Source organism: Homo sapiens, chromosome 1 (genome assembly GCF_000001405.40).
Source record: "Homo sapiens chromosome 1, GRCh38.p14 Primary Assembly".
Lineage (NCBI taxonomy): Eukaryota > Metazoa > Chordata > Mammalia > Primates > Hominidae > Homo > Homo sapiens.
Window position 1 is genome coordinate 20,855,492 of NC_000001.11, and position 25,374 is coordinate 20,880,865.

Sequence of the window (25,374 nt, forward strand, 5' to 3'; positions counted from 1 at the left end):
TTGGCTAGAGACAGGCAGTGGGATGTGAGTATTCAATAAAGAATAAGAAGAAAGAGATTGGAATGTTAGGCAGGGAGCACAGGAAGTTAAGGTGCCTGATATCTCATGTTTAATCTTCCAAGCACAACTTTACTACAAGTGAAATAAAATTACGCTGTAATGCATATTATTATAAAATACATATAACATAAAAGCTGTAATGTAGCGCTTTGTAAAAAAGGTATTTCTATGGTCTGACAGCTCATAATATATATGTTGCTATGCTATGTAATATGCTTTCACACAAACCACTCCCAATTAACAATAAATATGTATAACGGTTTTGTTCTAGGATACCCATGTATAGTACCTCCAGTATAACTATCTGAATACACAAAGTTTATTAGCAATTTACATACTTAAAAATATTAAGGTAGTAATGTTGGAGGTTTGATACCAGCACTGTTTTTATAGTATCCAAGCACGGAAAGCATAATATTTAAAAATACAAATGTTGTTATTAAATACCGACACATTTTTCAAAATGCTGGAGGACTTCTTTAAACATAAACTTTTAGTTAAAACTGTCTCTAGATGGAAATGGAGATGGGTAAGACTCAAATTGTATTCAGCAATGGAATTCCTACTCTGAGATATAAACAACTAGAAGAAAGTACCAGAATCTTGGAGAAAAGGATCCTAGCTAATTACATTATTAAGAGAGATTCAGAAGGAGAATTTTCTATCATGAAGCAAAGCTTTGACAAAACTGTGAAGATGCAAATGACATAGCCCATTTTATTCCAATTTTCTTAAAGACTTTTCTTAATACTTCTTGTCAGTTATCTTCTTTCATGTAGTATTTTCACATTAGTTTTGATTGTCTTCAGTATTTTGCTAGCAGGGTGCCGATTTTCAGAACTATGGGAAGTATAAGGATCAAACTAGACTTGCAAATGATTTGGAAAACCCACTGGACTTTAGAAGTTTCCACTCTTATCATATTTAATTCTGCTTTCTCTACATTCTCCAAAGTTCTTCATCCTCCTTACAATGATCAACTTTTACTGCTGAAAATACCTGCTACAGAAAGTTTTTTCCTCTTACTGCCCACAGACTCTCAAAAAGAGAGGAAAGCAGACAGAGTCTCTTAAATCCTTATTACAGAATGATTTCTAGTAGGCCCTCTGTGGTTTCCTTTACGCCTTGGATAAGGCAAATCTTTCATGGTTAGGTTTAAACAGGTGATTGCTTTTTTCCCCAGAGCTACGGATACATTGTGTAAAAGCCTGCAATTGACTTAGGCTTCTAAAATATCTTTGTTATTACCTCTTGTATATTAAGCATCTTATGTCTAAGAAGTAACCTAGTCTTTTCCTCTTTAGTAAATCCTTATAGAAGTAGAAATGAGGCCGGGCGCGGTGGCTCACGCCTGTAATCCCAGCACTTTGGGAGGCCGAGGTGGGTGGATCACAAGGTCAGGAGATCGAGACCATCCTGGCTAACACGGTGAAACCCCGTCTCTACTAAAAAATACAAAAAATTAGCCGGGTGTGGTGACGGGCACCTGTAGTCCCAGCTACTTGGGAGGCTGAGGCATGAGAATGTTGTGAACTCGGGAGGTGGAGCCTGCAGTGAGCCAAGATCGTGCCACTGCACTCCAGCCTGGGCGACAGAGTGAGACTCCATCTCAAAAAAAAAAAAAAAAAGAAAATGTAGAAATGAGTTTGTAGAATACATTGATCAATAGTAACTTGAAGAAAAATGCATTAAAAAATAACCACCCCATGGATTTGCAATATTGCTGTTTTACTTTAATAAGTACTTTTGAGACACGTTTTGCAACTATTGTAAATTGTGTGTGTGTGTGTGTGTTTTAATATCAAAGGCATCAAAGGAGAGCGTAAATTGTACTTTAAATGTCAGACTCACCTTAGTGATTTTTAGGAATTTTGAGGGGTCCAGTACCCGACTGTTCTTGGCCCCTTGTACAGTGTTCCACCCACCTTCGTCCACTCTCTGGACACCTGCAGGGAGAACAGAGTGGGAGTCTCTCATCTGTCTCAAGTCAGTTTTACATTGAAAGAGTGAGCAATATTTTCATCAAAACCAAGGAGAAAGACAACAGAAGATGTTAAAGCATTGATGACAATATCTTTAATCCCATGGCAGGAAAATATAAGCAGAAGCACCCTGTATCAGCAGAAGCACCCTGTATCAGCAGAAGCACTGCTTATTTTGGATCACCCATGAAACATTACTGACCTAGAAACAAACAACTGACACAAATGAATACCTGGTGCTGGAGAAGGCAGGGCTAAATCCAGTATTCACAGAATTAATGACTAGAACACTTTCGGAGAAGTCAGATGGAAATTATTTATTCTAAAGTATATTGTATTTAATGGGATCAAATGACAGAAGTATGCTTTATTTCCCAAATCTGCTTCTCCAACATTTCAGCTGCACAGGTGGAAAACCTTGACTCCTCTTTCACACTTCACATCCAATTTTTGTCAGTAAACCTTGCCAGTTAAACCTATACAATACATTCAGAATCTACTACCAACATTAGCAGTTTTGTTTAAGCCACCAACACCCCTTTCCTAGATTACTGCAGAGACGTGTTTTGGCCTTCCTGCTTCTACCTTCAGCTGTGCTCATCATGGCAGCCAGTGTGATCCTAGTAAAGTACAAAATTCGTCACTTTTTTGTTCAAAACACTTCTGATACCTTTCTGTCTCATTCAGAGAAAAAGAGAAGATTCCTTACAAATGGCCTCTAAATAATCTGGCTCCTGCTGCCTCTAAGTCCCCATCTTCTACCACTCTCCCCGTCAGGCCCTTCTTAGGTTCAGCTGCACTGGCCCCCTTGCTATTCCTTGAAAATGCTGCTTCAGGGTCTTTGTACTTACTACTCCCTTTGCCTAAAAGTCTCTTTCCCCAGATTTCCACATGATTTAACACCCTCACTTGCTTCAGGTCTTTGCTCAAACAATACCAACTTTTATAGTTTCCCCAGTTTTCCTGTTTAAAACTGCACCCTACTCACCAAGATTTGCACTCCCTAGTCCCTTCTCCCTTCTTTGTTTTTCTACAAATTTATTTGACAAATGATATATTTTATTTAAGTATTTATTATTTATTGTCTCCTCTCTCCCCTCTACCATAAGATGTAAGCCGCATGATGGAAGGGACTTTGAGTGCCTTGTTAAGTGACAGACAATAAATACTTGCTGAATGAGGGCCGTGTGCGGTGGCTCACGCCTGTAATCCCAGCACTTTGGGAGGCCGAGGCAGGTGGATCACAAGGTCAGGAGTTCAACACCAGCCTGGCCAAGATGGTGAAACCCTGTCTCTACTAAAAATACAAAAAAATTAGCCAGGCGTGGTGGTGGGCGCCTGTAATCCCAGCCACTCGGGAGGCTGAGGCAGAGAACTGCTTGAATCCGGGAGGCGGAGGTTGCAGTGAGCCGAGATCGCGCTACTGCACTCCAGCCTGGGCGACAGAGCGAGACTCATCTCAAAAAAAAATACTTGCTGAATGAATTAATAAATTGAAAGATCACCGAACTGTCTATCCAAAAGCTTTTCTGGTCCTAACATAACGTCTTGATTTTCTCCGTGCTATCTGATATTACTGATCATAAACAGACTTGCTTCTTCCTTGTCTCTATGACACTTGTATCTTAGTCCTTTCTCTCCACTTGTCTGGCACTTTTCCAAGAGTTCTTTTCTTCCTTTAGTCATATGTGAATATCCTCCATGAATTAGGCTTTGGTATCTTCTCCTTTTCCCTCTCAATCTGGTTCAATAATAAATAAAAGTTATTACCCAAAAGGCACTGCACTAGGTACTAGAGCGAGGAAGGTAAGTGTGGTATCTCAAGAAACTTAAAAGTAAACTTTCTTCCATGCAGAATTCATCTCTCCTAACAACTTCACTATGAGCTCTACTGTGTCTGTGACAATAACTAATGGTTACTGAGTATTTACTATCAGCCAGAAAATTATCATTTCCCTCTGAAAAAGGTTTTCTTTTCCAACGTTCCTAAACTTAGTAAATGGACTATCGTCTCAGGTTTAAAATGCCTTCTACTTCATCTTTCACTTTTTTTGCATGTCTCTATTTTTGTTTTGTTTTGTTTTGAGATGTAGTCTCACTCTGTTCCCCAGGCTGGAGTGCAGTGGCGCGATCGCGGCTCACCGCAACCTCCACCTCCCAGGTTCAAGTGATTCTTCTGCCTCAACCTCCTGAATAGCTGGGACTACAGGCACACATCACTATGTCCAGCAAATTTTTTAGTAGAGACGGGGTTTCATCATGTTGGTCAGGCTGGTCTCAAACTCCTGACCTCAATTGATCCACCCACCTCAGCCTCCCGAAGTGCTGGGATTACAGGCATGAGCCACTGCGTCCGGCCTGCTACAAAGTGCCCCTTTCTTAAATAAAGTTTTCTTTCAGCTTTCTGTCTCTCTTCTTTTTCTCTAAATTTTAACAGTTAATGGAGAACACATTTCATAATTGATATACTATCTTCCATTTGCTTAACAAATGTTCCTCTTTTGCTTGTCAAAAGTTTTACCTTACCAGATAAACTGTACACTTTGAGAGGGAAGTAACTACATTTTCCACTTCCTTTTCTCGTCTCACCAATTCTGAGTATATAGAAGATGCTCAATAAAGTCTTATTGCTTACTGGCTTTTAAGTAGTGAAAGAAATCATGCTTTGTTCCTGCATTCTCTACTTTTACTCAGTAACTTTACTCTTCAGGTGAAACTGCTTCACCTAACAATCACCACTCTATTCTTTGGGCTGTTCTTTCTGATCTCATTTTATACCTAAATACATAATTCTTAATATGTATTCCTGAAACTTCCAAGTTCTCTAAACCCTGGTGGATTCCGGCCTCACCTGGTCTTCTCTTCTCTTTGGTCATGAGTTGCTGGACCTTCCTTTGCTCTTCTTGTTCTTCTATTTTAGCCTCTTTGTGAATCTGTTCGATAGTTTTAGGCCCTTGATCTGCTCTTCGAGATACCCAATTGCACTATAAAAGCAGAAAATAAGGTTATCTGCCAGATAAACTGAACATTTTTTAAAATTTAAAAATTAGCAATTTTTACTACTGGAAAAGTACAAAATACCTACAAAAGCTGTATTATGGCAGTTTCTCATGTATCTTATAGATGACACTATGAGCAGTTTAGGATTAGAGCTGAAGGATTAAAATCTTCTCAGTCAAAACTGGCCAATTGTATACTACATATTCCAATAGCCAATGGATACAAAGAACAGGGTGAAAGACTGGCCCAAATTTATTATTATATTTTTAAGCATGGCATATATTTCTCTGTGGACTAAATGGATTTTATCTGTATCAGTATTTTGTACATTTGAAAGGAGGAGAGAAAAATAAAAATGATGAGGATTCCTTGGCCTTGCCTTAATCTGTGGGATTACTACTCAGATCATATCACATTCCATAGGGGTTCTAAGTCAAGGATGACTCATGCTTTTATTTCTCCAATATCATGGTTCTGATATTCTACACAAAGGTCCATACCACTCTGCCCTTTGGTTATCCCCTGTATTAAGGACAAAATAAGTTGTCACTTTATACTTCTCCCTTCTCTTTCTAGCAACAGTCCCAACATCTGATATAAGTGGTTGATAACATGGGTGAAGACAACCACATCTAGTCTTAGCAAGATAAAGAATCATCATCAATGCTATCTGGCCTGGGTGGAGGAGAAATAAGAGGTAGGGCTTTGTTCACTTTCTCTAGTGTAGGGCTTGATGTAGTATATTCCCTGTAGGAGTGAAACTTACAAAAGAGTAACTCCCTGTAGGAGTTAAACTTAAAACAGAGAAAAGTAGTAGTAACAAAAACTGCACCCGGTAAGAGAAATGAGAAAAACAAAAAAACAAAAAAACAAAAAAAACCCAGCAGCAGAATAGGAGGGTCACAGGAAAAACGAAAGAGAAGAAAACACCAATATCTGAGCTGGGCACCTTACGTAATTATTCCATTGACTCTTCAACAAATCTGCAAGGTAGGCAACATCCTCATTTTAGAGATTAAAAATGTAAGGCTCAGAGAGTTAAAGGTATTTACTGTGGAGATGAGACTTGCTGATTATTTAGCTCACAAAGACTAAATTTAATTGAATTTACATTTGAATGGAGTTTGAATTCAGAATGGCTGATTACAAATTGCAAGTGGCTGGGCGTGGTGGCTCACGCCTGTAATCCCAGCACTTTGGGAGGCTGAGGTGGGCAGATCATTTGAGGTCAGGAGTTCCAGACCAGCCTGGCCAACAGCGTGAAATCCTGTCTCTACTAAAAATACAAAAATTGCCCAGGTGTGGGGGCATGTGCCTGTAATCCCAGCTATTCCAGAGGCTGAGGCAGAAGAATCATCTGAACCTGGGAGGCGGAGGCTGCAGTGAGCCGAGATTGAGCCACTGCACTCCAGCCTGGGCGACAGAGTGAGACTCTATCTCAAAAAAAAAAACAAAGCGCAAACAAAATTGCAATATGGTTTGATAATCAGAATAAGGAGAAGAAGCACGTAACTGGCAATAGGCCTTTTGTCCCTTCTCAGAACTCTCCCACGGAAAGTTTGCCAATCCAAATTCTGAGTCCTGAAGCAAAAGCACTATCTTTACACATGTAAACAACAGGACATCCTTCCCCAACCCAATTCCTTTAAAGAGACTGGACCAGCAGGCTTATTATTATTTTTTTTCCCACTCACCAGCCTTAGGTCTATAACATCTTGAAGCATGAACCGAATCCTAGATGAGGTTTTTCTTTCTTTCACAATTTTCTCCATCTGATTAAAGTACTGGTCCATACGTGGCTGCAAGAGACAAAATCATTAGTACTCCTGTCTGAGAAACTTAAACGTAATTTTACCAATTTACAGTTATTTATTTATGTAGTTATCTATTTATTTTTTTAGAGATGGGGTTTCACTCCGTTGCCCAGGCTGGAGTGCAGTAGCACAATCACGGCTCACTGCAGCTTCAACCTCTCAGGCTCAACCGATCCCACCTCAGCCTCTCGAGTAGCTGGGACTACAGGCACGTGCCACCGTGCCTGGCTAATCTTTTAATTTTTTGTAGAGACAGGGTCTCATTATGTTGCTCAGGCTGGTCTTGAACTCCTGGGCTCAAGCAATCCTCCAGCCTTGGCCTCTCAACGTGCTGGAATTTCAGGCATTAGCCACTGCGTCCAGCCCATGTAGTTTTCTAAATGGTCTAGGAATATCAATTTATAGCCAAAATATAATGTGGTAGAATTTTTATTTGTATTTTTTTGAGACAGGGTCTTGTTCTGTCACCCAGTTGGGAGTGCAATGGCTCAATTATGCCTCATTGCAGCCTCAATCTCCTGGGCTTAAGTGATCCTCCTGCCTCAGCTTCCCAAGTAGCTGGGACCACAGACAGGCATATGCCACTACACCCAGCTAAATTTTTCTGTGTGTATGATTTTTTGGACATAGGAAATCTCACTATGTTACCCAGGCTGGTCTCAAACTGCTGAGCTCAAACAATCCTTCTGCCTCAGCCTCCCAAAGTATTAGGATTATAGGTGTGAGCCACTGTGCCCGGCCATATGGTAGAATTTTTAGTTGTTCATATGACCACCTAAAATAAAGACTACATTTTTCTAGGCTCCTGGCAGCTGGCTTTGGTCACGTGATTAATGATAGGCAATAATATAAATGGAAATGTTATGCTATAGCTTCCTAGGGCCTTCCTAAAGAGACCAGAGGGGCCAGGCATAGTGACTGATACCTGTAATCCTAGCAATTAGGGAGGCCAAGGCAAAAGGACTGCTTGAAGCCAGGAGTTTAAGACCAGCCTAGGCAACTAAGTGAGACCCATCATCTCTACAAAAAGTAAAAAAAAAAAAAAAAAAAAAAAATTGGGTGACAGGGCAAGACCCTGTTACCTTTTTTTTTTTTTTCCTTTTTTTTTTTTTTTCAGATGGAGTTTCACTCTTGTTGCCCAGCCTGGAGTGCGATGGCGCAATCTTGGCTCACTGCAACCTCTGCCTCCCGGGTTCAAGCAATTCTCCTGCCTCAGCCTCCCAAGTAGCTGGGATTACAGGCATGCGCCACCATGCCTGGCTAATTCTGTATTTTTAGTAGAGACGGGATTTCTCCATGTTGGTCAGGCTGGTCACGAACTCCTGACCTCAGGTGATCTGCCCGCCTCAGCCTCCCAAAGTGCTGGGATTACAAGCATGAGCCACCGTGCCCGGCTGACCCTGTTACTTAAAAAAAAAAAAGAGAGAGAGAGAGAGGTGGCTGTGTCTTTTGCCCCTTTTCCTACCTTCTCTGGTGAGAATAATTAGGACAAGGGTTAAACTTTAGGAGTCACAGAATGTTAAGCTGAAAGGACTTACCTCAGAGCTTTGTTTACATAAATAAGAAGTAAACCTCAATCTTGTATAAACCACTGGGTTTTCTGTCACAGCTAAGCATAATCCTAGCTGAATCAGATGTTATGGAGCGTTTCTGACATTATTTCTTTGAAGCATTTCTAATTTCTATACCCCTTAAATAGCATACATTATTACAGTATTTTTAATGATTTCTTATATTATGGTTAGATGGCTGTGTCATCAATTAGAGTATAAACTCTAGAAGCACTACTGGGTCTTCATTTCTGCACTACCCTTAGGCCATAGTTTTTCTTTGCATATTTCTGTTCCCAAATTGGGAAATGGTTACAGAAGAAGAAAAAAGAATATGGGACAAATAATCTGAAGAATCTACAAACTGGCTTTTACACAATTTGGGACCCTCCTCATCTCTGACTCTGATGGAAATGTAAGGAGCACGATGGTTGAACACTGACAATGAGACGGGCAAAAGAAGAAAAATAAACAGCCCAGACCTTTGGGAAAAGATAGAACTATTCTGTTGACAGTCTAAGTTCTTTTGCAACTGACAAGGAGCCTTTGCGAAGGTTTCTGAGCTTTTGGATTTTTACCTTTGCTTTTTCAAAGTCCAAGTCTTTGCCAATGGTGGTGAGCAGGCGACACAGGCACTCCAGGGATTCTTCATCATGGTTCTTTAGCAGCTTCACCACACAGTCATGCATGATGGCTTCAGTCAGCATTTTGAGTTTAAAGAGTTCTCCAATAAACTTGATGTTGCCAATGGATCTCCGCCGGGCTTTGTCCTTGGCTTCTTCCAGTTCATCATGAAGCCTTGTCCTCTCCTCTGGCTGTTGTGTAAGGAGGAATAATAGCATCTTGATGATGAAAGTTGTACTGCACAATAAACACTGAGATTCATGGGGTCAGAATCCCCGTGAGAATCTGATAGCAAGTGTAGAATCTACTGCTCAGAAAACTGAACTATACCCATCCATTTCAGATTTTTGGAACTCAGTGACCTGACTCAGGCTTAGATTGAATGGCTGGCATGGAAAATTTAGCTGTCCCCTATATTAGGCACTAAAAGGAACAAAGCATTCCCCTAAACATTAATATGTTGTTTCTACATGGAAAAAAAAAGGCCATAGGTCCCTCTTAAGGTAGCAGGGAGATGCTGTATCTAGCTTCCTGAAATTTCTACTTTACAGTGCTCAAAGTGTACAAGCACTGTCTTTCTATGAAAATACTTACAGCACTGGCAGCCTCAAGTTCTTTCTGCTTCTTCTCAAAGACATCATCATCTGCTTTATCTTTTTCAAACTCCTTCTGGCAACGGTTCAGTAGCAGCTTCCGGAAATTCACTGTGTTACCAGGCTTGTCTGCCATGGGTACTTTCAGCTACATCCAGACAGGAAAATAAAAAAAATCAACAAGATTACTTAAAGACATTAAAAATATCTGTTTGCTTTATTGTATGAAATAATGCTGACTGAACCACAGGTAAGCATTCTATAAGAGGCAAACAATATAGCTTCAGGCATTTCATGATTCAACAGTAATATGTCTTAAATTTTATTTAGAAAAGACACACATTCCTCTCATATAAATGTACTCTTTTTTAGCCATGCTACTAGCTAACATGGAAACCCTTGTCATATCATTGCAACTATAACTCTGAACTTATCTAGACCTTATTTAAAAAAAAAAAAAACTGTGTAGAGTTATTACTTCTTTTTTTAAGAAGTACCGTTGTAATAAGTATTTTGGTTTAATAGAACACACAAAAATGACATAAGACAAGGGAGAATTTGCTGGTTATCGCAAAACTGTTGTAGGTGAGATCCTTATTGTATTTATGCAGAAGTTGGGATACTGGGGGATTTTTGAGATATCTTTTCATTGGGGAATGTCATAATGTTAGCACTTACCTTGACTATAAATATAGTATGTTTACTGCTTATTGCTTATGTGCCATGAGAATATACTAGTTCTCCAAAAGTTTGGAAGCAAGATCCTTACAAGGTTTCCATCCAAATCCAATAATAATTGTTTTCTAATAGTTGTAATAGCTCAAGGTTACTTGTAACCAAACACAGAGACATTCTTATGAACATATTTAGAATATAAAGACAGTAGACTGCAGCAGGGATTCTACTAAAATATTCTAATTTACAGATGACATCCCTCTGAGCACCATTTTGAACAGCTATTTCATAATATGATACAACAGTTTTTCTGGGATGACAAAGTGGCTCCCAAAGTTCTGAAATGTATGTATGGTCTTTGCCCTAGGTATAACAGAAGATCTTTGTGAAAACTGGGTACACTGCATCCATACTCACAAAATAATTAATGTTATCAACCAGAATGCACTTGGTCAGCTGTTGATCAAGGCTGGATGGCTAGAGAAACTTCCTGAGAACTGACGATGATGATGCTAGAATATTTGTACTAGAACTGATGGCACACTCTCCAATGTATTCCCTACGATGTATGAAAGATCATTTAACAGATCCAGTAATAATCAACCATGTGTTACACTGCATATTTCCTTTCAGCAGGAGACATTATCTTAGGAAGAGGGGAACATTTTCAGATAATTTTTTAGACAACCAGAGAAAAGGCTACTGTATCCTTAACTCCAAATTTAGGCTACATAAATGCAAGCAACTATAGATAATTTCACAGTCAGGCCTATTCTAAAGTCACACAAGTCAGCCTTCAAGAAAAGAAATGCTACATGAAAGCAAGAGTTTTCCAAAGCAAAAGCCAAAAGTTGATTCTACCTTCTCTTATATAAGACCCAGAATACACAATAATGGACTAAGAAATACAAAAGAGAACCAAGAAGTATATTCAAAAGCAGGTTGGCATACAAGAGCACCAACATGACATTAGATTTTAGAACTAAAGGTTCTAAACATCAGCAGTTATATCCAATTTGCTGCTTTATAGGAACATAAGTTAAACCAGCCACAAAATCCTAGCCAGCATCTTGGCATATTTACCTCCATCATCTGTATTGACATTAAGTGTATAACTGACTGACAAGAAAATAATAGTCCGGCCCACAATCTATCATCTCTAAAGAGAAGTTTCCTACATTACAGATTTACTGTGTAGAAAAGAGAGAAATGAGGACAACAAACAATATGAAAATCTAAGCCACTGCCATATGGTGAGAAGTGCAGGGAAGACTATTTTAGAAGAGCTGGGTTAAGTATCAAAAGTTTTGCTTACTTGCTATATAAACAAAGGCAATTCTTTTAATCCAAGTTTCAGTTTTGTCATCTAAAACAAGGGAGGTACAGCCTCTATGTCCATCTGAGAGGGCAGCTTGAGCATTCAGCATGGAAGCACTTTAATAAGCCACAGATAAATAAGCTGTAACTGAAATCGAAAGAGTGCTGGAATATGAGTCACAAAATCAGAAACTGAATCCCAGCTCTTTAATCTACTATGTAAATTTGAGCAAGTTACCTCACTGAACCTCAGCCCCTACACCTGCAGAATGAGATATTCCAAAATGACTGTAGATTAAGGAACATGATAAAATAGCTGGTGAAAAGGGAGCTCTGGACATAGTCACAATCCCAGCTCTGCCATGTGACTTTGGCCAAGTCACTCAGTTTCCCCAAACCTCTATTTCAAAAATGGGGTGAGGTATTATACCTATCTCTTAGGAGGTGTTATTGGGAGGATCAAATGAGGTATCTAAGGAAAAGCAAATAGTGGCTGACACACAGTAAGGGCCCAATAAACAACTAGTATGGCTATATTAAACACTTCATTTGACAGGCCTATGATTAAACATTAAGAGTAACGTATATTGTAATAACATAGCTATCAAAGAAAGGATAAAGCAAAGTTAGCTCACTAAGCAATAAAGAGAAAATCACAAAATGCAAGAGAAACAAAAGTCTGCTATCCCAAAATAATGGTCAAGAGGAATTTCACATGAATTGGGGCATAAAGAACATGTAATCATGCATAAACTTTTCAGATATATTCACATGGAAGTATTAAAACTGAATAACTAGCAGAATGACTACAGATTTACAAAAATGTATCTCTGAATGAATGAATACCTAGCTATACAGCTCCTTGAAGACTTGTTTTGGAATATGATCTTAATACCCTCTGGGGATGGTTAACAGGGCTGTGGAAATATGGAAAGGGGCCAGTGAGAACATATCCTCTGAGAATAGTGATTCATGGTGATTTTCTTTTTTTTTTTTTTTTGTCCTTAGGGGATGGTAAATTTGACAGGGCTGTAAGTGAGCACTTGTTGTCTGCTGGACACTGGGTGGTCAAGAGACCCACTGAGATTGGTTAGTTGGAACAGAACATGAAGAGTGGATACCTTAATCTGCTTGGGCTGCTATAACAAAATACCATAGACTGGGTGGCTTAAACAATGGAAGTTTATTTCTCATAGTACTGAAAGCTGCGAAGTCCAAAATCAATGTACTGGCAGATTAAGTTCTTGGTGAGGACCCTCTTCCTGGCTCGTAAATGGCTGACTTCTCACTGTATCCTTACATGACAGGGAGAGAAACAGCTCAGGTGTTTCCTCTTCCAAGGGCACTAATCCCATTGTGTGGGCTCCACCCTCATGACCTCAACTAAACCTAGTTACTGCCCCCCACCCACCTCCTAATGTAATTATAGTAAGAGTCAGGGCTTCAAACTATGATTTTTCAGAGACACAACAGTGGACAAGGCAGATGCATGCAAATATGATCATGGATAATAGCAAGAATGAAAGGTATGTGACAGTGGGAAAAGGATCTATTTAGACAACTGCAATTTTCACTTAACAGTCCATGATCAGCACTAAAATGTGTGTGTTTAAATGGGTTGTTCGGGACGGGTTTCTTTTTCTCAGGGAGCAAGGGAGTCGGTGAGAATGTTTTAGGAAGGCTGCTTGATAAGCTGAATTCACTAGAAAGCACCTAGCTTTTTATTTTTACACAGTAGTAAACTAACAATGTGGCATTAGTGTAAAGAGACCCATCCACATACAGGTCACTCAGCAATCTTAGATATGAATGTTGTCAGCATCAGGTAGTAATTTTCTTCAAGCAACAGGGCCTATACTGCTGACATATTTGTTAGTATTGAGGGTGGACATGCTTATCCCCAAAAGGATCAAATTCTAGAGAATCATCAAGGGTTGTCAGCAGTGTAGTAATTATGGTAATCAAACAGAAATGAAAATGGAATGGTAAGTCCTGGCCTTGGCTTGGCATGTTCAGGATTTTCAATGCTGTCTCAGAACATAAAGATGTTAATGGCAACCCATGGCCCAGCAGTAGTTTTGCCCCCAAATCATGTGCTAGTCTGAAGTAAAGTATTTGTAATGAATAGGATAATGTAAGCAAATGGCACCTCTGTGCTAACTCTAAAACTCTGGTTTCTAGAGGATAGTTTACTTTAAAATTTTTTTTTTTTTTTTTTTTTTTTGGAGACAGTGTCTCCCTATGTTGCCAAGGCTAGTCTCAAACTTCGGGGCTCAAGTGATCCTCCCATCTGTCTCCTGAGTACCTGTCTCCTGAGTAGCTGGGATTATAGGCATGTGTCACTACTCCTGGCCAAGGACAGTTTGCTCTTAAATGTGAAGTAAATAGGCCGGGTGCAGTGGCTCACGCCTGTAATCCCAGCACTTTGGGAAGCTGAGGCGGGTGGATCACGAGGTCAGGAGATTGAGACCATCTTGGCTAACATGGTGAAACCCAGTCTCTACTAAAAATACAAAAAATTAGCTGGGCGTGGTGGCGGGCGCCTGTAGTCCCAGCTATTCGGGAGGCTGAGGCAGGAGAATGGCTTGAACCCGGGAGGCGAAGCTTGCAGTGAGCCGAGATTGTGCCACTGCACTCTAGCCTGGGTGAAAGAGCAAGACTACGTCTCAAAAAAAAAAAAAAAAAAAAAAAGTGAAGTAAACAGCAATATGGTAATTAAAAAAAAATTGTTTAATAAACCAACATAACTCTCAGGTCCATGGTGACATACTATTTTCTATCAGTGGTTATATCGTGACCTTAGGCAATTTAACCTGCCAAAACTGTACATAATACTCTGCATACTATGAACACATCTATCAAAATGGATCTCTGTTAGATATACCTGAAGAGGTATAGTGTTAAAGGATATGCACAAGATTCAAAAGGGAGTGGTCAGTTATGAAAGTATAAGTCATCTCTGATCATTTTTTCTTCAACACATTATAAAATCTTCCATCAGGACAGTTACAAATCCCTCCTCCTCCAGTTGACCGGTCACTCGCTGTTGCCCAAGGCTGACTTGTCATGTCTGCAATTCCGGGCTTTATTTTTTATGGGATTTAACTGCCTCTCTTTTTCTCTCGGTGTCTCTTCCTATTCTCAGTCCTGTCATTCTCCTCATGCTTTGCTTTTAAACACTTAAAGTGGCAATACTACAAGCTCTGTATCTGGCATAACAGTATACAGAATGCTTAAAAATCTGCCTTTAGTGCCATTCTTTGTAGCTGAGGTATGTATGTCTCCCACAGCACAGACAAAAAGTAACAAAACTACAGTCTCAGGGCATAAAAGAAACTCATTCAAGTTGGTTATTCTTTCATTCAGGCATTTACCTACTCACTCACAACTATTACCTGCCAAGAATCATTCTAAGCACTGGGAATTCAGCAGTGAACAAAACAGAAAAAGTCCCTTTCCTTGGAGTTTATATTCTAGAGGGGTTCTGAGATGAGGATTCTCATTTCAATTATAATTAAGACAAAAGCACAGCAATTTAAAGTTTCAATAATCCAATTTAAAATTGTACTTAAGTACAGATTTAGATACAGGACAACATTTCTCTTGTCCACTCTTCCTCACCTGCCACTTAATTCAGATGTCCTCCTCCAAAAAGAAATGCTGAATTCTAGTTAAATGCTTTATTATTCATGAAGGGAGTCTCACAGGCCTCTTCAGTCATTTCCAGTTGAACTAGCAGAAGCAGCAAAATACTCCAGAGGTGGAGTTGACCATGTCTTATGATTCCCTCAAGCCTTGTATGGTATGCCTTAGTAGAGCTTGGTGGACACAGGCAGCTGCATATATGGATGGATATGTACATATGTATCTGTATGTGTGTGTATACAGTACTACAGAGCAACGAGGGAAAGCTGAATCCATTATATCAATTTCCTCTATAAATCTAAAAGAATCTTTCTTAAAGGCCTACCCTTTAAGACTTCAAGAAAAAATTAACAAACAAAATAATTTTATACTCTAGGATTCACCTAATCACTGCAAAGTTACAAAAGAGGTTTTAAATGGAGGTGTGCAATCAATGTGAATGACATGGAAAGAGAAAAATGGCTTAACAACTGCTCTAAACAATGAGAACACATATTCTCCTAAATCTTACAATCTCAACAATCTAGGCTGGGTTTTTAAACCTCAACACTACTGACATTTGGGGTAGGATAATTATTTCTTGTGGAGGGCTCTCCTGTGCACTATAGAAAGCTCAGCAGCATCCTCACCCCATACCCACTAAGATGCCATACCAATAACCAAGAAGGCCTCCAGACACTGCCAAATGTCCTGAAGTGGGGGTGGGAGGGAATGTCCCTGGTTGAGATCAGACTCCCAGATACTAGTTCAATTTTTTATTCACTGTCTTCAGTTTCTTTGATTCTGTTGGGAGGTATTATTTTTCAAGCTAATAATTACCTTAAGGGAATTCTTTTAAATGCCTGTGGTCTAGAGGTTTGGAAAATGTTGTATACAGTAGATCTTTCCTGTCTGACTTCACAGGAAACATTAGCATAGTAAACAGGGGCTTGAAGGAAACAAATCTGCTTATGCCAGCATTGCTGAAACACATACTAACAGCTCAATTTTGGGCATTTCACTTTTGGGCAACACTGGCCCGTGGACATGTCATCTTGAAAAAGCAATTGGGTAGACTCCATTTCTTTTCTTTTCTCTGTCTTTTTTTTTTGAGACAGGGTCTCGCTCTGTCACCCAGACTGGAGTGCAGTGGTGCAATCTTGGCTTACTGCAACCTCCACCTCCTGGGTTCAAGTGATTCTCGTGCCTCAGCCTCCCAAGTAGCTGGCGTGATAGGCATGCGCCACCATGCCCAGCTAATTCATTTCTTTTCCAACAGTACAAAATAACATAGCACACACTCAGGTATCCATTGTCCAAATGTGTCAAATCTTACCATTTTGCCATATTTGTTTTAGATCTTTTGCTTAAAAAAAAAATCTGTGTGTGTGTGTGTATACACATATATTAGAGACGGGGTCTTGCTCTGTCACCCAGGCTAGAATGCAACAGTGCCATCATAGCTCACTGCATCCTTGAACTCCTGGGCTCAAGTGATCCTCTTGCCTCAGCCTTTGGAGTAGCTGGGAGTACAGGTGCATGCCACCACACCCAGCTTTTTCACACTTTTTTTTTTTTTGAGACAGGGTCTCACTATGTTGCCCAGACTGGTCTCCAACTCCTAGGCTCAAGTGATCCTTCCATCTTGACCTCCCCAACTGGGATTATTGGCATGAGCCACCACAGCTGGCCACTTTTTCAGTTTTTAAGAAACTAAATATTACAGTAAAACTTAAAAGCCTATAGTGGTTTTTAAGCTTTTCACTCTATTGCTTGTTTTTGTTTCAAAAATTTTTTAAGGTTCAGCAATAAATTATGAAAAAGCAAACTCCATAAATACCACCAGGTATGGTAACCAGGTCAAGATACAGAACACTGAAAGCTTCTCAGAAGCTCCACTTAAATTTCCTTCCAAAGCACATCCACAACCCCTTGTCTCCAAAGTTATACAAAAGCCTCCTAGACTTTTATAACTTTCTTGCCTTTTTTTTTTTTTTTTTTTTTTTGAGACAGAGCCTCACTCTGTCGGCCAGGCTGGAGTGCAGTGGCATGATCTCAGCTCACTGCAACCTCAACCTCCCTGCCTCAAGCAATTCTCCTGCCTCAAGCAATTCTCCTGCCTCAGCCTCCCAAGTAGCTGGGATTACAGGCATGCGCCACCATGCCCAGCTAATTTTTGTATTTTTAGTAGAGATGGGGTTTCACCATGTTGGCCAGGCTGGCCTTGAACTCCTGACCTCAGGTAATCCGCCTGCCCTGGCCTCCCAAAGTGCTGGAATTACAGCTGTGAGCCACTGCGCCCAGCCTTGCTTTTGTTTCACAAAGAAAACATGCAACCTTTAACACTATAGACAGGTATCCCCAAACACCAAAGTTAGTTTTTGTTTCATTTTTGAACATTAAATAACAAATCATGTAGTATCTTTTTGGGTCTGCCCTCTTTTACTCAAACTTACTCTTGTGAGAATCCATGCCCATGTAGTTGTACTTCAGATTCACTGTCCTTGTATAAACATGCTACGATTTATCCATTCTACTATCAACAGGCATTTTTTCATTTTTCTTTCCTGTATAAAAAATGCTACAACATTTTTGTATATATTTCCTAGCATATGAGATATGTATGTTTATTGGTTGTGTATATACCTAAGAATTGAAATGCTAGTTATGGCAGAAAAACTTCAGCTTTAGTATATAATGCTAAACAATTTCCAAAGTGGCTGTTGCAATCAGTATGCGAGAGTTCTTGTTGTTTCACGTTTGTAAATATCTGGTACATTTAGCAATTTGATGTTATTGCATAGTACATGAACATCTTCAACATTATTGCCCAATTGCCCTCATAAATGGTTATATTCGTCTTTAAAAACATTTAAAATGGGATTTTTTTTTCAATCTAGTGGGGGTGAATTTTACAGAACTATGGTTTATCTTTTCTTAGTTTATCACTTCCCTAATAATGAATAACATTGAATGTCTTTTTTTTTTCCTTAAAAAAAAAAAAAAACCACGAGATACAGGTGCAGGATGTGCAGGTTTGTTACATAGGTATACATGTGCCATGGTGGTTTGCTATACCTACTGACCTGTCCTTTAAGTTCCCTCCCCTCAACCCCCATCCCCCAAAAAGCCCTGGTGTGTGTTGTTCCCCTCTCTGTGTCCATGTGTTCTCAATGTGAAACTACCACTTATGAGTGAGAACATGCAGTGCTTAGTTTTCTGTTCCAGTGTTATTTTGCTGAGGATGATGGCTTCCAGCTTCATCCACGTCCCTGAAAAGGACATGATCTCATTTCTTTTTATGGCTGCATAGTATTCCATGGTGTATATGTACCACATTTTCTTTATCCAGTCTATCATTGATGGGCATTTGGGTTGGTTTCATGTCTTTGCTATTGTAAATAGTGCTGCAATAAACACACGTGTGCATGTGTCTTTATAGTAGAATGATTTATATTCTTTTGATTATACACCTAGTAATGGGATTGTTGGGTCAAATGGTACTTCTGGTTCTAGATCCTTGAGGAATCGTCATACTGTTGAACCAACTTACGTTCCCACCAACAGTGTAAAAGCATTCTGTTTCTCCACAGCCTTGCTAGCATCTATTGTTTCCTTTTTAATAATCGCCATTCTGACTGGCATGAGATGGTATCTCATTGTGGTTTTGATTTGCATTTCTCCGATGATCAGTGATGTTGAACTTTTTTTCATATATTTGTTGGCCGCGTAAATGTCTTATTTTGAGAAGTGCTGTCATTGATTATCTTTTCTAAAGTTTATCACCCAGTGGATTTTCATTTCTATGAACTGCCCATATTTTTATTAGGCTGTTTTTTTCCTACTGATTTGCTTCTTTTTCTTCCTTAATCCTGGATTCTAATATTCTGTCAGTTAATGCACTCCAAACAGATACTCCTAGGTTGTGGTTTTATCTTTGTATTTATTTATAGTATCTTTTGCTGCATCAAAGATTATAAATTTTAACAGTCAAATCTTATACCTTTATCCTTCATGTTTTGAATTTTGCTAAAGAAATCTTTCCCTACTCAAAAGTTCATGAAAATAGCCTCCTTGATATTCTTATAAAAGGTTAGCTTTTCAAATTTAGATATTTAATAATCCCATAATGTTTGATGTGTGTAGTAGGATTCTATGTTTCTATGTTCACTGTTACCATTTTATTTCAGTCTCTCAATCCCTCAAAAGTAATCAACTACAGTGTCAGAAGTCAGGACAGTGGTTACCTTTTTTGCTTTCCCTGAGACTAGGTCTCACTCTGTCACCAGGCTGGAGTAAGTACCATAGTATTATCATGGTCCACTGCAGCCGTGACCTCCTGGACTCAAGGGATCCTCCCACCTGAGCCTCCCTAGTAGCTGGGACTACAGGTGGACTACTATCATGCCTGGCTCATTTTTTAATTTTTTATTTGTAGAGTCAGAGTCTCATTATGTTGCCCAGTCTGGCCTCAAACTCCTAGGCTCAAGCGATCCTCCTGCCTCAGCTTTCCAAAGTGTTGACACTGTAGGCATGAGCCACTGCACCTGGTCCTAGTTACCTTTAAAAAAGACTAAAGAGTATTGAAAAGGGTCTAAGGTGTATTCACTTCACTGACATACAATGAGCTGTACAGTAATGATTTGTATACCTTTCTGTAAGCATGTTGCATTGGTGTGTTGAAGCTGGTTCATATTGGTTTATGACAGACAACTGTTTAACAGTAATTTTGTGAGTCTTGTCAAACTGTCAGTAGATTACAAATAGTCCTGAGGACAGCATTTACATCATTAAATTTGGCAAATGCAACAAATGAAGAATTTCAACCCAGAAAGCACATATGTTAGTCATATTTCAATAAAAAAGTTTAAAACATTAAAAACATACACTAAAGAAATAAAAGTCAGGTGCAATGGCTAACGCCTATAATCCCAGCACTCTGGGAAGGAGGCAGGAAGATTGCTTGAGCCCAGGAGTTTACGACCAGTCTGGGCAACATATTGAGATTCTGTCTCTATAAAAAATTTAAAGATTAACTGGACATGGTGGTGCATGTTTATGGTCCCAGCTACTCAGGAAGCTGAGGTGGGAGGATCATGTGACCTCAGAAGGTTGAGGGTGCAGTAAGCCCAGATCCTGCCACTGCACTCTAGCCTGGGTGACAGAGCAAGACAAAAAGGAAAGGGAAGGGGAAGGAAAAGAAGAAAGAGGCCAGGCATGGTGGCTCACGTCTATGGTGCCAACACTTTGGAAGGCTGAGGCAAGCAGATCACTTGAGCTCAGGAGTTCCAGATCAGCCTGGACAACATGGCGAAACCCCAAAACCCTACATGTACAAAAAAATACAAAAATTAGCTGAGCATGTGCCTGTAGTCCCAGCTACTTGGGAGGCAGAGATGAGAGGATTGCTTGGACCCAGGAGTTTGAAGCTGCAGTGAGCTGTGATCACACCACTGTACTCCAGCCTGGGATATAGAGTGAGAGCCTGTCTCAAAAAAAAAAAAAAAAAAAAAAAAAAAGACAAGGAGGGAGGGAGGCAGGCTCCAGAATACAAGGATAAATGAACATATGAGAGAGAGAGATAGAGAGAGAAGAGAGATGGTTGAACAAGTTATGGTATATGCATATTATGAAATATTATGCAATTAGTATAAAAGTATGAGTAAAATCTATCTGTAATGACCTAGACGGCTGCCCAAAACATTTATTAAGTAAAAAAAAAAAAAAAAACAAACTGAAAATAATTTATATAATTCAATTAAAGCAAAACCAAAAAAACCTCTTTATACATACTCATATTTTCATGTGATTTTATAAACATGAAGAAAACTATAGATGATTACATCAAAACCATTCACAGTGACCATCTGATAGGGAAGGAAGATTAACTGGCTGGGGCTGCAAGCAGAGAGTAATAACTGTATTAACTATACCATTTGACTTGTTCAAATAGGTTGTTATCTTATAATTTAAAATAATCCAGGAGGCCAGGAGGTGGCTCCTGCCTGTAATCCCTGCACTTTGGGAGGCCAAGGCGGGAAGAGCACTTGAGCCTAGGAGTTTTTGAGACCAATCTGGGCAAATAGTAAGACCTCATCTCTACCAAAAATAAAAAAATAGCCAGGCCTGGTGGTGGTGTGTGCCTATAGTCAAGGAGGAGGACTGCTTGAGCCCAGGAGTTTGAAGCCTCAGTGAGCTATGATCATGCTACTGGACTCCAGCCTGGGCAACAGAGCAAAAGACCTTGTCTCAAGCAAAATACATAAATAAAACAATCCAATAAAGTTTTCAAAAGTCTCATAAGTGGGTGGCTTGTCTATAATTTCTTCATATTCCAATCCAATTTGTACTTATTGCCAGATCATTTCAAAGGCCATTTTCATCAATATCACTCCTCCATTAAACTACCTAAACACCACTTAACTGCCTATCTGATAAAATTCAAAACTGGGAAAGAGCATTAAAGTGTGATCCAGAGGATCTGGGATCTAGTCCTAATTTTAATGAGTCATGGATGTCATGGCTACCACAATGAAAATGAGAGCCCAGAAATGGAGAATTAGTTTGCTTCCATATAACTATGGCACATCAGGAGGCACTATGGCAAGTGATTGAGTTAAATAATCCCTGATTTGAATTCTAGCAATGCCACTTACTAGTTACATCACCCTGAGAAGTTATTTTTCCTTTTCAAGCTCAGCTTTTGGTTCAATAAAGTGGGGCTAGTAACACTGACCATTCAGGATTAGAATAACCATTAAAAATAATATGTATATATAAAGCCTCTATCCATATTGCAACTTAGTAGGTGCTGAATAGACTATTTTTATTATAATAATCATCCTCATTCTATAGCCAACATTCAAAACCTTCACAAATTGGACCTAAAAGGTCTAACATAGTTTCAATTTATTTAGGGCTTACTACAGGCCAAACACTGGGCTAGAAATTTTGTAATCTCATTTATTTTAATTAATTTTATCCTTATAATATTACAAGTGGTATGAATTAATCTCATTTTATGGATTAAAAACAGGGGCTTAAAGAGATCAGTAACTATTCTAAGGTCATAAAGTTAGGAAGTGGCAGAGTAGAAACTATCTTCTCTTATCTCAATTTTATTTTATTTTGAGACAGAGTCTCACTCTTGTCGCCCAGGCTGGAGTGTTGTGGTGCAATCTCTGCTCACTGCAACCTCAGCCTCCTGAGTTCAAGTGATTCTCCTGCCTCAGCCTCTCAAGTAGCTGGGATTACAGGCGCACGCTACCATGCCTGGCTAATTTTTGTTACCACACCCAGCTAATTTTTGTATTTTTAGTAGAGACGAAGTTTCCCCATGTTGCCCAGGCTGGTCTCAAACTCCTGATCTCAGGTGATCTGCCCACCTCAGCCTCCCAAAGTGCTGAGATTACAGGCATAAGCCACCTTGCCCAGCCTGGAATTTAATTTTAAACTTTAAATTTTAAACCTAGAGCTGTGACTCCAAAGCCACACTTACTGCTTCAGACTTGAGCCTGCTTAGAATGTGTTCTTTCTTCTCCAAATGTGTATTCCCCATTGTGTCAGGTCCAACTCAAACTCTATTTGCTTTATAAAAGTTTTGTGACTCTCCCACCAACATAGTGTTTTCTTTTTCTTCCAACTTATTTTTCGGTCTAACCATCCATTCAGGCATTGAGATACTGCTACATCACAAAATACCTTTTAAGTAATTTTTTTCTTGGAAATACTTATTTTCAAATGGATTTTGAATTCCTTTAAGACAGAAGATGTGACTTTTCCAAACCCCAAAAGACTTACCTACCTTTGACATAGGTAGTCAAAAATATTGGTAGAATGAGAGAATTTTGCATTTTCATAGCTTGTTTCTAAGCAGCAAGGCACGACAATGAGTTGTAATAATTAAGAAAAAATCCAAATGTTAAAGGACAGACATTTCTGACACAAGTACCTCGGTAACAATAACAGGAAGAGAAAACAGATGATACATGGCAGTTTATGACTGTGGAATAGAGGACAATGAACACTAACCAGAAGCTCTTTGGTCTCCCTCTCTGTCTTGCCCTAGGTTTGACAGGCTGTGGAGATTAAATGGCTTCAGATAATGTAAACGGAGAGAAACCTAACAGTTTCTATGACATGAAATTATCAGCTTTGAAACCTTTTTGACTACAGAACAACTATCCTTTCATTTTCACAGAGATTAGAATTAGAATCAACGTGTTTTTAAATTTCAAACTTAATTAAATGTGAAAGCACGCATTTGCTTGCTTTCCATAAGAGACACACGGGAAAAATTTGTTGCCCATGACGATAATTTTACATTACTAATTTAAACCTGACTCTATCTTTCTTACGCTGAATGGGCCCATCTCATGCCCATTTCAGTCCAGACTTCATATCCCCTCCAGAGGGGAGTATACGTTTTAATAAAGCAAGATTGTCTTTAATAATGAGAATATTATATCAATAAATACTAAAAATATATTCTCCCCTTTATGTTGCCCCAATAACACTTCTGGGAAGAATGTGTAGTGAGGGGAGAATATACCTCTTGAAGATTTCTCGTTTTACTCCTTCCTCTCTTCTTACCGTTACTAGACATCGACACATGTTTGCGTAAGCCACAGAGAAACTGGGTTCATCAATAGCCTTCTCAAAGACCAGGTCAATAACTCCTTTCAGCCGCTCCTCTGTGTCAACAGTAAGTCCTGACACTTGCTTCATCAGTTGATTGAACATCTGTGGTGTCAATTTATTTAAGATACTTCGAACTTTTCTAAAAAGCTCCTAGAAGGGCCACAAAAAAGAAAAAAGCATTAGAGTAACTGTGACAATATGGTGCTTTCTGTAATGATTAATTTTAAAAATAATATATAAGTTCAACTTCTCAAATTATTAACAAGGACTGTGAACTAGTGACAGAAATAATTAAACTAATCTATTTTAACAAATAGTCAAAAATTACCTTCTTTTCACTACTGAGGAGAATTCTAGAAATAGGTATATACACACTTAGCTGGTGGGAGCATTATCTGTTAACATTTCTAAGGGCAATTTGACAACGTGTATCAAAAGCTTTAAAACTGTGTATGTAACCTTTGAACCAGTAATTACACTTTTAGAAATGTATTTATATTTAGAGATACGTAAAAATACTTTAGCCACATAACTCATTACAGAAAATAACTTTGATGTAAAAAAATAGAAATTTGTCTAAATTATGGTATAATATAAATAATGGTATGAAACACTAGGCAGGAGTCTTTTAAAATAATGTTGTAAAAACTCTAAAAAAAAAAAACAGGAATAGAAGAGATCTTCCTAGACTAGTAAAAGGAGATATACAACTCCACTTAAAGGTGAAAGGCAAAATGATTTTTGCCCCTAAGATTGAGAATAATGCAAAAAATGTTTCTTTTCACCATTCCCATTCAGTATCATACCAGAGGTCCTAATCAATGAAATAAAGCAAAGAAAAAGCAATAAAAGGTACGTAGATTGTAAAGGAAGAAATAAAACTCTATGCAGAGAAGATATAATTGTCTACATAGACAATCATAAGGAATCTGCAAAAAGACCAGAATAAGTCAGTCTAGCAATTGTAGGATACAATGTCAAAATGCAAACATCAACTGCTTTTCTATGTATTAGCAATAAATAACCAGAAATTAATTTTTTTAAGTACCATTTACAGCAGCACCAAAATCTACAAAATATTTAGCCAAAAACTAGCAAAAGGTCAGGCGTGGTGGCTCACACCTTTAATCTCAACTTGGGAGACCGAGGTTGGGTGGATCACTTGAGGCCAGAGGTTCGAGACCAGCCTGGCCGACATGGCAAAACCCCATCTGTACTAAAAATAGAAAAATTAGCTGGGTGTGGTGGTGCATGCCTGTAATCCCAGCTACTCGGGAGGCTGAGGCAGAAGAAACACTTGAACCTGGGAGGCAGCGGTTGCAATGAGCTGAGATCGCACCACTGCACTGCAGCTTGCGCAACAGAGTGAGACTCTGTCTCAAAACAAAAAAGATGGAAAAAAATATGAAAACTATAAATCACTGATGAAGGAAATCAAAGAGGGCTTAAATAAATGAAGATATATATCATGTTCTTGTATTAGAAGATTCATTAT

At 39.0% G+C, this 25,374-nt stretch overlaps 1 protein-coding gene across 62 annotated transcripts in view; it reads right to left on the bottom strand.

Moving 5' to 3' along the window:
- Window positions 1-25,374, bottom strand: part of EIF4G3 (eukaryotic translation initiation factor 4 gamma 3) — a 370,606-nt gene that overhangs the window by 49,200 nt on the left and 296,032 nt on the right. For all 62 annotated transcript variants that reach the window (XM_047433321.1, XM_047433366.1, XM_047433324.1 and 59 more), the window contains 6 exons: window positions 23,832-24,029; window positions 9,625-9,771; window positions 8,985-9,221; window positions 6,737-6,841; window positions 4,894-5,026; window positions 1,912-2,006 (listed from right to left, as the gene is read on the bottom strand). In XM_047433321.1, the coding sequence (XP_047289277.1) occupies window positions 1,912-2,006; window positions 4,894-5,026; window positions 6,737-6,841; window positions 8,985-9,221; window positions 9,625-9,771; window positions 23,832-24,029 (915 nt within the window). The remainder of the gene's footprint in view (window positions 1-1,911; window positions 2,007-4,893; window positions 5,027-6,736; window positions 6,842-8,984; window positions 9,222-9,624; window positions 9,772-23,831; window positions 24,030-25,374) is intronic.